At 39.3% G+C, this 12,652-nt stretch overlaps 1 pseudogene, besides 1 other annotated feature; it reads right to left on the reverse strand.

The window, feature by feature from the left end:
* Positions 510–804: an enhancer, noted in NCBI's record as "tiled region #7081; K562 Activating DNase unmatched - State 1:Tss". NCBI's record gives its function as "activates a minimal TATA promoter and a strong SV40 promoter by Sharpr-MPRA in K562 cells {active_cell/tissue: K562}" and the evidence as "EXISTENCE:reporter gene assay evidence [ECO:0000049][PMID:27701403]".
* Positions 2,887–3,336, reverse strand: RPL18P4 (ribosomal protein L18 pseudogene 4; annotated as a pseudogene).

The following is a 12,652-nucleotide window of genomic DNA, read 5'->3' on the forward strand; positions in this document are numbered from 1 at the left end:
TTGGGGCACATTATTCCAGATTTTTATCTCCTCAAATGGATGATCTGATATATGAAGTCACCCCCCTTATCATATCAGCTGGAACCTTCCTCCAGGGTGCAGATCCTTTCCTTTTTATTTATATGAAGAGCCTCCCTACATATTTGCACTCATGCCTTCCACATTGATAAATGGCTTTCACTTAGTGCTATGACAACTCTTCTCTGGAACTCTCTCAGTTCTCAACTCATGATTAATAGTTTCAGTTAACATTCTTTCCTTTACTTATCTTAGTAATTTACAGAGATGAACTTGCTCTCTCTGTTGTAACAAGTACAAGTATACGTAGCTTCACATTTTATACATTCCATTAGAAAATGGTGCAGAAAAGGAGGATCTCTGACCAGATAAAAGAGAGGGTCTCTGGTCTCTGACTAGATAAAGATAGTTCCCCTAATCCTTCTTGACCACAGATATTACTTTTGGTCAGCATCCAAAATCTTTTTAATAAGAAGGTAAGCAGTCTGTCCGTTCTCAGATCTCAAACTCCATGCTGGGAGAACCACTACTCTCTTCAAAGCTGTCACATAGGGACATTTAAGTCTGCAGAGGTTTCTGCGTCTTTTGTTCGGGTATGCCCTGCCCCCAGAGGTGGAGTCTACTAAGGCAGGCAGGCCTCCTTGAGCTGCGGTGGGCTCCACCCAGTTCGAGCTTCCCAGCTGCTTTGTTTACCAGCTCAAGCCTCAGCAATGGCAGGCGCCCCTCCCCCACCCTCGCTGCCGCCTTGCAGTTCCATCTCAGTCTGCTGTGCTAGCAATGAGCGAGGCTTCGTGGGTGTGGGACCCATGCCCTCTCTGACCTCTCCTATTCAACATAGTGTTGGAAGTTCTGGCCAGGGCAATCAGGCAGGAGAAAGAAATAAAGATATTCAATTAGGAAAAGAGGAAGTCAAATTGTCCCTGTTTGCAGATGACATGATTGTATATTTAGAAAACCCCATCGTTTCAGTCCAAAATCTCCTTAAGCTGATAAGCAACTTAGGCAAAGTCTCAGGATACACAATCAATGTGGAAAAATCACAAGCATTCTTATACACCAATAACAGACAGAGAGCCAAATCATGAGTGAACTCCCATTCACAATTGCTTCAAAGAGAATATAATACTTAGGAATCCAACTTACAAGGGATGTGAAGGAACTCTTCAAGGAGAACTGCAAACCACTGCTCAACGAAATAAAAGAGGATACAGGCAAATGGAAGAACATTCCCTGCTCATGGATAGGAAGAATCAATAGCATGAAAATGGCCATACTGCCCAAGGTAATTTATAGATTCGATGCCATCCCCATCAAGCTACCAAAGACTTTCTTCACAGAATTGGAAAAAACTACTTTAAAGTTCATATGAAACCAAAAAAGAGCCCGCATTGTGAAGACAATCCTAAGCCAAAAGAACAAAGCTGGAGGCATCACGCTACCTGACTTCAAACTATACTACAAGGCTACAGTTACCAAAACAGCATGGTACTGGTACCAAAACAGAGATATAGACCAATGGAACAGAACAGAACCCTCAGAAATAATACCACACATCTACAACCATCTGATCTTTGACAAACCTGAAAAAAACAAGCAATGGGGAAAGGATTCCCTATTTAATAAATGGTGCTGGGAAAACTGGCTAGCCATGTGTAGAAAGCTGAAACTGGATCCCTTCCTTACACCTTATACAAAAATTAATTCGAGGTGGATTAAAGACTTAAATGTTAGACCTAAAACCATAAAAACCCTAGAAGAAAACCTAGGCAATACCATTCAGGACATAGGCATAGGCAAGAACTTCATGTCTAAAACACCAAAAGCAATGGCAACAAAATCCAAAATTGACAAGTGGGATCTAATTAAACTAAAGAGCTTCTGCACAGCAAAAGAAACTACCATCAGAGTGAACAGGCGATCTACAGAATGGGAGAAAATTTTTGCAATCTACTCATCTGACAAAGGACTAATATCCAGAATCTACAAAGAACTCAAACAAACTTACAAGAAAAAAACAACCCCATCAAAAAGTGGGTGAAGTATATGAACAGACACTTCTCAAAAGAAGACATTTACACAGCCAACAGACACTTGAAAAAATGCTCATCATCACTGGCCATCAGAGAAATGCAAATCAAAACCACAATGAGATACCGTCTCACACCATTAGAATGGCGATCATTAAAAAGTCAGGAAACAGGTGCTGGAGAGGATGTGGAGAAATAGGAACACTTTTACACTGTTGGTGGGACTGTAAACTAGTTCAACCATTGTGGAAGACAGCATGGCGATTCCTCAAGAATCTAGAACTAGAAATACCATTTGACCCAGCAATCCCATTACTGGGTATATACCCAAAGGATTATAACTCATGCTGCTATCAAGACACATGCACACGTATGTTTATTGTGGCACTATTCACAATAGCAAAGACCTGGAACCAACCCAAAAGTCCATCAGTGATAGACTGGATTAAGAAAATGTGGCACATACACACCATGGAATACTATGTAGCTATAAAAAATGATGAGTTCATGTCCTTTGTAGGGACATGGATGAAGCTGGAAACCATCATTCTCAGCAAACTGTCGCAAGGACAAAAAACCAAACACCGCATGTTCTCACTCATAGGTGGGAATGGAACAATGAGAACACTTGGACACAGGAAGGGGAACATCACACACTGGGGCCTGTCGTGGGATGGGGGGAGGGGGGAGGGATATCATTAGGAGATATACCTAATGTAAATGACGAATTAATGGGTGCAGCACACCAACATGGCACATGTATACATATGTAACAAACCTGCACATTGTGCACATGTACCCTAGAACTTAAAGTATAATAATAAAAAATTAAAAAAAAAGAAAAAAGAAGGTAGGATCCAGGGTTAGTTTTTGTAGCCTTGGCTGGCCCCTTGGCCTCTGGCATACTCGAACTTCCGGCCCTTGGAGCGGACGTAGGGTTTGGTGTGGCTGTGTGGGGTTCCCAGGGCCTTGTCGAAATGCCAGTACACCTCTCGACCCTTGCGAGGACCTGAGAGCAGGACGGTGCCGCAGACCTTGGGGGAGTCCAGGGCCAGCTGGTCGAAAGTGAGGTTCTTGCCCCCCACCCTGAAGATGTGGCTGCGGGCCCGGCTGGTCACGCCCAGTGCACACACCTTCAGTTTGGGCACCTCCTGAACCCACACGTCATCTGTTATGGTTCCCACAACCACGGCCGTTTTGTTTTCCTGGCCAGGAAGCTTCATTTTCGGGATCATCCGGGAAAGGGACAGAGGTGGCTGGTTGGTGCACTCATAAACAACCTCTTCAGCACTATTACTTTTTTTAAAGTGCCCTAAATATCCTTATCAGAGGGGTATTCTTACTTTCACTTTCTCTTTTTTTCCCCTCAGGGCTTTCTTGCCCTCTATTTAAATCTTTCTTCTAAAGCTTCTCTTCCAGTCCTAGGATCCCCAATTCTTTGTCTCCCTTGTCTTCCAAGGGAACATTTTTTTTTAACAATTCTTAATTATGCAAAGAATTTTATTTCTTCATTCTCTCAACCATTCCAATTCTAACTGAGCTCTAGGGCCTACCTACATTTAACTAAATGAAACTAAACAACAAAATCATCAGGATATGGCTGACCTATATTATGGAAGCAAGCTTGAGTCATCTTTTTTAATAGGAATTTTGTCTTCTTCCTACAAATGCATTGTTGCCAAAGAGAGTCATAGAGGGAAGGATTTTGCATAGGGAGAGATGAGCTTGGGATGGGTAGAATCAAAATTTCAGAGAGTTTTAAGGGGTGGGTAATGGGCTTTTGCACAAAATCGTAAAATAAAGAAAAAGAGAGAAGGGAGCTTTTCAGCTGAAGGTGGATAAGGTTTCTATTAGTCATCTGTGGGGAGAGATAGATGGATATTAAAAGGAGAGGACAGTTTACATATATAGAAATTTATAAAGGCCTAAATACAGACACAGGAAAGACAACCCACCTGTTTCTAGCATCCTAGGTAGCACATTTGTGTGGAGCCAATAAAAAAAGTGTACACAAATAAACCAATTATATTCAGGTATGTTTTGAAAGAGCCATGTTGACTGGCCTAAGATGTGGGAAAAAAGCCAGGGATTTTGTTCACAGTAAGTTCAATACAAACAAATCCAGTGATTTGCCAAAAGAGCTAACTAGTATCTTAGCCCGCATTAATGCAATTTCAGTCTCTTTAATAGTGTAGTGTTGTTCTACAGCACTTACCATGGGGAGTAAATGAAGCATTTCTAGCATGGTAATGAATCTATTGGTAGTACAGTCATTAATGAACTGTTTTTTGTTTTGTTTGTTTTGTTTTGTTTTTGACGGAATTTCGCTCTTGTTGCTTAGGCTGGAGTGCAATGGTGAGATCTCGGCTCACCACAACCTCCGCTTCCTGGTTTCAAGTGACTCTCCTGCTTCAGCCTCCTGAGTAGCTGGGATTACAGGTGCCTGCCACGACACCTGGCTAATTTTGTATTTTTAGTGGAGATGGGTTTCTCCATGTTGGTCAGGCTGGTCTGGAACTCCCGACCTCAGGTGATCCACCCACCTTGGCCTCCCAAAGTGCTAGGATTACAGGTGTGAGCCACTGTGCCCGGCCCTGGTTTATTTTTATTTTTATTTTTATTGTTTTTGGTTAAGTTTTTATTTGGTCATATTAAGACACAGTAAAGTTTTGCTTCTATAAAGTGAATAATCATTAATTTTTTTTTTTTTTTGTAATTCAAGGGAAAACTTAAGTTTGGTTGGTTAATTTTCCTTTTTCCCCTCTATATAGATGCTCTTAAGAGAATAATTGTAGTTAAAAAAACATAAGTAATTACACTTTTGGAAGCCAGCATGTTACATTACAGTTGTGCAGGGAGGATCAGAGGTAGAAACCCCAAGAAGCTACTGCAGGCCTGACTCCTTCTTCCCTTCCTTGCCCAGCCCCTCTAGTTTTGCCTGAGGGATGCAAGGTAAACTACATCAACAAAGGTCCAGGAACCACAACAATTCTGAGGTCACAAATCATCTAGGCCTGCAGGTGGATGCCCTAGATTGTAGGCATTGATGCCAAGGAAGGAAACCACCCTCTTAACACCTCACGATCTGTAGGGCATTGACAGCAGAGGCTTTTACTCCTCAGCCCCTCCCCTGAAAGGCCTTGATTAGGAAGGTAGCTGAGTCACCATAGAAAGGCCAAGTATGTGTAACACAGCCAATACTGAGAGTGAATTCTGATAGACAACCTTTCTCCGAATTATGTTTTATTTCTGTTTTTCTATATCCATATTGTTTTCTATATTTATTTTCATATATTCTATATTCAGAACATAGAATATGATTCTGAATATATAATTTTTAATATTTAATAGAGACATGGAGACATTAAATATTAAATATTAAATTTAATATTTAATAGAGATATATTTAATACAGACATGGAGAAACCCCATCTCTATTAAAAATTCTATATTCGGAATATAGAATACAATTGAGAATATAGAATAACACAATTCTATATTCGGAATACAGAAGAACGCAATTCTATATTCGGAATACAGAAGAACGCAATTCTATATTCGGAATACAGAAGAACGCAATTCTATATTCGGAATACAGAAGAACGCAATTCTATATTCGGAATACAGAAGAACGCAATTCTATATTCGGAATACAGAAGAACGCAATTCTATATTCGGAATACAGAAGAACGCAATTCTATATTCGGAATACAGAAGAACGCAATTCTATATTCGGAATACAGAAGAACGCAATTCTATATTCGGAATACAGAAGAACGCAATTCTATATTCGGAATACAGAAGAACGCAATTCTATATTCGGAATACAGAAGAACGCAATTCTATATTCGGAATACAGAAGAACGCAATTCTATATTCGGAATACAGAAGAACGCAATTCTATATTCGGAATACAGAAGAACGCAATTCTATATTCGGAATATAGAATATATTCCTATATTCTATATTCGGAATACAGAATTATATTCCTATATTCTGTATTCCGAATACAGATTTATATTCCTATATTCTGTATTCCGAATACAGAATTATATTCCTATAGTCTGTATTCCGAATACAGAATTATATTCCTATAGTCTGTATTCCGAATACAGAATTATATTCCTATAGTCTGTATTCCGAATACAGAATTATATTCCTATAGTCTGTATTCGGAATACAGAACTATATTCCTATATTCTGTATTCGGAATACAGAACTATATTCCTATATTCTGTATACGGAATACAGAATATATTTCTATATTCTATATTTCGTTTTTCTATATTTTTCTATAAATAGAATGCATCACCGACCCAAGGGATTCAAACATCATGGGTATCAGAATCACATGTCCCTCCCCAGAGATACTGCCTCTGTCTAGAATCCCAACAGCCCCCTTTAGGCACAGTGTCACCCCTGGGTTTTTTCCTGAGATAGTAAGCTGTAGCAGGAGACCCTGAGAGCTGCGGTTGCTTTGTTGGGAGAATAAGGCAGTAATCTGTAGCCTCACTTCCTCAGCCTAAAATGACGGCTTGGCCCAAATGACTTGTAAGTTTCTTTTCAATTTCTACCTTCTGCAAAAATAGCAAAAGGAAGTTTTCAAATTTTCATTTATAATATCCTGGAAAACACAGGACAAGTGAAAAGGCAATTTGTTGACTAACTTGATCACGGTAAAGAGTCAAATTGGATAATTAGATTCCAAAGTGGATTTTGGGGGGACCTAATTTTCCTATTTGGCTGCCTAACAGTATCAAAATAACTGCTAATTGCCAAATCTCTCTCTCCCTTCTCTGTATGCTTAGCCAATATTGCTGTAGTGCATCAAAAAAAAAAAAAAAAATGCTACCATTGCTCAGTCCACCTGTGCATCTCCTAATAATTAAATAGTGCACTTGTAGAAATTTTTTTTGGTTGGGGGGAGGTGGGAGACAAGAAGATTTACACATATAGGGACTAGTCATAGCCTATAGTTAAGTGTCTAGCTCCAGAACCTGAAGCACAATGGTTTCTCCTAAGTGAAATTTAGGACTGTAGGACCAGCTGTAAGCTGAGACCTCCAAAATCTGCATTGGTCAGCGGTCCCCAAATTTTGGGCAAAGGGAATCACTTAGGAATCTGTAATAATACTGATATTTGGTTGCCCCTAACTCTACCAGACATGATGATTTAATTGGTAGGGGATGAGAATAGGAATCATACAATTTCCCCAAGTGATTCTAATGTGGAACAAAGTTTGGCAACTCCTGAAATTTGGTCAATATCATCGTAAAATATGCTAGTTTGTTAGGTTGATTTTTTGCAATGGTTGGGCCTAAGGCAATGTGATCAAGATTGCAGGCACTTGGATCAGACAAGCTGCTTCTTAATCTTGCTCAACCTCTGCTGGTTCTGTCTATGTCCACAAACTGGCCAGGTAATTTTGTTTAGTTTCAGCTTTCTTATTTGTATGATAGAGATAAATGTGCCCACCTCATAGTATTGTTCTGAAGATGAAATGTGTTTGGAAGGTTTTGGAAAATTGTTGGCATGAAATCTGGCACCCAGAACTTGATATATTCTAGCCATCATTATATGTTGTTAGGATTTTGAATCTATATTTTATTTTATAAGACAAAAGTCGCTGGGCACAGTGGTTCACGCCTGTAATCCCAGCACTTTGGGAGGCCGAGATGGGTGGATCACCTGAGGTCGGGAGTTCGAGACCAGCCTGATCAACATGGAGAAAACCCGTCTCTATTAAAAATACAAAAAATTAGCCAGGCGTGGTGGCACATGCCTGTAATCCCAGCTAGTCAGGAAGCTGAAGCAGGAGAGTCACTTGAACCTGGGAGGTGAAGGTTGTGGTGAGCCGAGATCTCGCCATTGCACTCCAGCCTAAGCAACAAGAACGAAACTCCGTCTCAAATAAAAAAAGAAAAAGATCTTTGAATAAGTCATCTGAGGAAGTTACCATAGGCCTTCCTTTACTTATTTTCTAAAGATAACATAATAATTATATTTTTCTTTTATATTACAAAATTAATTTCTGCAAAACAAAGCAGAATATATACCATTTATCACAACTCTTTTCTTCAACACTGTTTCGTTCTATAAAATGGAAATGAAAGTCCTGTACAATAGCAGTCACTAGCTAGCATCTAATTTAATTATCTTTATAGCATCTTTCATAAAACTAAGTCAGTAGGAGGCCATAAACAGAGAATTTAGGAAATTTTATTAATCTCCTGGGTAATAATATAGACATTTTCCTTGAATTCATAATGTCTCAGTGGGCTTTTGATTAGATATGCAACTCAAGTCACATGGATGATAACACATTGAGAACTTATGGTTGATGTGATCACTAAACATAGACTGTGAAGGTCAACAATTTTATTGCCAATTCCTCATAGCAGCTCTATCTCTAAAATCATATGTATAATGCAACCAACTTACTCTAATGCAAAATACCCACATTCTATTTTCATGTGTTATTTTCTTTTGATTTTTAAAATGTACTAAACCAATGTAAAAATAAAATTATGTATGCTTAGCCCACCTTGGGCAAAAATGCAGTTTTGCCGGGGAGTGAGGTAGGAGTAGAGAGATGGGTGTCCCGATTAAGAAGAAGATTAAAGGGAGTTTCAGGCAACTCTCTAAGGAAAGTCTATGCTCTACTCCTAAACTTCTCTAATGCCTTGGATGTGTAACCAGAATCCTGAAATACTAGTTTCACAGCTAGCAGGCGCCTACCACCATTAGGTTTGTTGCTTCTCGCTGAGGCAACTCTAAGTTGATCCCAGCATGCTGTGCAAATATAATCAGCTTTCATGTGTGTCATAATGCAAAAAAACATGGGACGCCCTGCTTACATAGCACTCTTTTTTTTTTCAGTGAATGTTATCATTATAATTAAAGTGTCTTTGGGTATAATCTTGGATGATTCTAATACTCAAAGAACAAAAATGAAGAATTCCTGACCATTTCACAAACTCATCCAATTTTAAGATGTTCTTTTTGGTTATGAAGGAAAACACAATTAGAGATTGTTGTTCAAATTATATGATAGATGACTCTGCAGTACATTATAGTATCAAAAATCTGGGCTTCCTTAGCTTTGGAGGGCTATTATCATAACAGTTGGATGATTCATTTAGGTCAGAAAAATCCCATTTCAGAATATTCTTGAAAAAAAATATAATTAATATAATTCCACTCAGATTTGAGAACATTTGGTTTATTTCTAGCTACAAATAGTTTCCTCTATACCAGAAAATAAATTATTTACTTCTTTTCTCTAGGTTTATGTGTTGCTAGGTTTCATTCGAACTTTATTTCAACCTTAAGAATAAATTGGGAAGAAAAAATATGTTTAGGGTGGGGACTGAAATAAGTAATGTAGAATTCCAAATCAGTTAGAGTAAAAAAATTCAATGGCTTGGGGACAGGATGTGATATAAATAGAAAGACCATGGGAAGATTGCCCAGAAGCCAGAATTTGGGTTCAAATACTAAAATTTTAGAACTGAAAACAACCTTTGAGATTTTAAATGAGGAAGTGAAGGGTCACAAAATATTGTAGATTATAGCTCAAGAATAGAGTGAAATTGTGTATTTTAGTAATAATACCTTCACCAGGCCAATTCTTCCACCCTCAAATCTGGGTAAGTCTCTTCAATATTAATCCTGCTAGTGAGACGGGATTTTAAAGAGACATCTGGAAACATCAGTGTTCCAATTTGGCACCAGAGGGTTGACTCCTCCCAAACATTTCCTCTTGTTCCTGTAACCACTGCCCCACCCACCCCATCTCCATCTCCTTCCCTGCTCTGCCCTCCTCTTTCAAAATAACTTAGTAGAAAGGTTACTTTCTCCAAAAAATTGATTTTTTTTTTGAAGCAAGATTTGAGTCTTCCTTATTGTATTTTAGGAAATAATATAATACTGTGTGTGCCTATTGGTTGCTTAGTAAATATTTGTTAAACAAACAAAACGCCTAAGAGAAGAGACCTGAAATCAATCCAAAAGTAGAAAAAAAGAAAGACAAAACAACCAAATTAAAGCACTTCTCACCCTCACTGGACCAGGGGAAAATTTCGGTTTCAAACATCTACAGACTGGGTGTCTGACTGGACCCAGCAGGATTTGGTCTCCAGACTCACTAAAGCATTGTTACTCTAAGGATTTCCGAGTGCATAATGGGTTTCCCGAGCTGCTTGAGTAAGTGCATCCTAGTTCCTGCAATTATGTTCATGACAACAGCTAGCAGACATTATGTCCTGCTTTGATTCTTTCTTTCTCCTTCATTCTATTTTAATTCTTCTTGATATATTGGCTTGTTCTTAACATAAAAGTCATTTAAACATGATGGATTGACCATGAACATTTATTGCCTTCCTGAAACCACTCTAAAATGATGGTAAACAACAACAACAAAAATACTCGAAGGGCCGGCACAGTGGCTCACACCTGTAATCCCAGCACTTTGGGAGGGCGAGGCTGGTGGATCTCTTAAGGCCAGGAGTTCGAGATTAGCCTGGCCAACATGGCGAAACCCCGCCTCTGCTAAAAATACAAAAATTAGCTGGCCGTGGTGGTGCACGCATGTAATCCCACTACTAGGGAGGCAGAGGCAGGAGAATGGCTTGAATTTGGGAGGCAGAGATTACGGTGAGCCAAGATTGCGCCACAGCACTCCAGCCTGGGAGACAGAGCGAGACTCGTCTCAAAACAACAACAACACAAAAACAAACCAAAAAATCCTCGAAGGACAAACAGGAAAGAGGACATCAGTGGTTGAGAAGTTTGAGTAAATGTTTAGCAGAGGGAAAACATGGAGCAGTGATAACTGAATTAGGGACAGAGGAAGCTGTTTAGGAGGAGAAGATTGCTTATTTGTCCCAAAGAACTGTGGTAGGGCCAAGGACCATTGAAGGAGAGACAGTGTGGTGCTGTAAAGAAGGTGATGAATTGAGAAAACCTGTGTACCAAAGAGTGGCCTTCTTTTCCTTCTTTCCTTCTCTCCTCTTCTCTAGCTCTGTGGCTTAGCAGGTTGCTCACCATCTCTAGCTACTTGCTTCCTGGCAGGAGAGCCAATGCTTTTGCTCTGGATAAATTTAATAAAGTTCCTACAGGATCACTTTGTTGTTGTACTCTGCATGTAATGGCAACCCAACCCAGACCACTAGAACCAGGCTTAAATCTCATATTTCCAAATATGCCACAGAGAGTGATTATCTGCTCCCAACAGTTTGAACAACAACAACAAAAAAGTCCTGGAGTCAAGCCGTATTGGATTGATTTGGGTTACTTGTTACTTCTGAACCAATCACTGTGGCCAGGGAGAATGGATGCTCTGATTAACCAGACCAGGACTGTATAGGATAGGAGAAGGATGGTACCACAAGAAAAATAATCAGATATGTTATAAGGAAAGGAGAAGTGGGTTCTGGGGAAAGAATGACCTTATCTTCTAATATAATTACTCTGAGAATGCAGTAGCTTTGTTGAATAGGGCTCTCATAGTAGCCACATGCCTGACTGTAGGTGGCATGATAGGAGCCAGAAGCAATCCCTAGGCCTACCAGCTGGGACCAGATATGCACATGTTACAAAACATGAGAATGTGTACATAATGAATTATATCTGACTGCTTTCCTCAGAAGGAGTCGTTACTGGAAAATGTTTACGTGGAAACTTTTCTGCTTTCAAATACATCCAGAGAAGATTTCTTAAACTTCTTTGATAGCCTGTTTCAGCGCAGCCATCATTATCAGGAAATTTACTTTTATGCTGTTAATTTAATTTAATTTAATTCTTTTGTCTGCAGCTTTTCAAAGTAGCTGGACATAATCCTCTATATAATATGTATGCTTATGCTTGAAGATAATCTTACAATTTTCTTCCGGGATGGATGACTTCTGTTTTTTTAGCCACAAAATTTTATTTCTCAAACCTTTCATCATCTTTGAGTGTCTCCTCTGAACTGCCTCCAAATTTTCTGCATTTATCTCAAGCTCTAGAGTCCAGCAATGAATATAATAATCTAGGGAGAGCCCCACAACAAAGTGAAGGCAATTGCTTAGGAAAATGGAAAGAATATTTTTGCACAGGACTTCATAGTTTTAAAAGGACTTTCCCAGGCATCACTTTGTCATTTGAGGTAAGTATTGCTTCCTCCTCCTCCTAAACTCTGATGGTTGATGTGGGTCTATCCTGAGTCAGATCCAGTTTGGGGTCAGCTGGAAGTCCAAGGTAGTTCTGAGGTTACAGCACAAGTTCATATTTCTTTATGCTTCCCTGGGACCAGTAACAATTTAAAAAATGGAGTAAACCACAGGGGCTTTCCATGGTTTGGACCAGTGCTGCCCAGTAGAACTTTCTGTGATGACAGAATGTTCTATATCTGCACTAATATGGTAGCTATCAGCCACATGTGACTACTGAGTATTGGAAACAGCTCATGCAACTGAGAAACAGGATTTGTACTTTTATTTAACTTTACATATGGCTAGTGGCATAATCTTTGGACCATCCTTAAGTCTGGGTCTAAGCTTGAATTGGTTTCTGTGATTGAAGCATAAAGCACTTTGGTAGATCATCATATTTTAGTAATAATTTGA

This window comes from Homo sapiens, chromosome 7 (assembly GCF_000001405.40).
Source record: "Homo sapiens chromosome 7, GRCh38.p14 Primary Assembly".
Classification (NCBI taxonomy): Eukaryota; Metazoa; Chordata; class Mammalia; order Primates; family Hominidae; genus Homo; species Homo sapiens.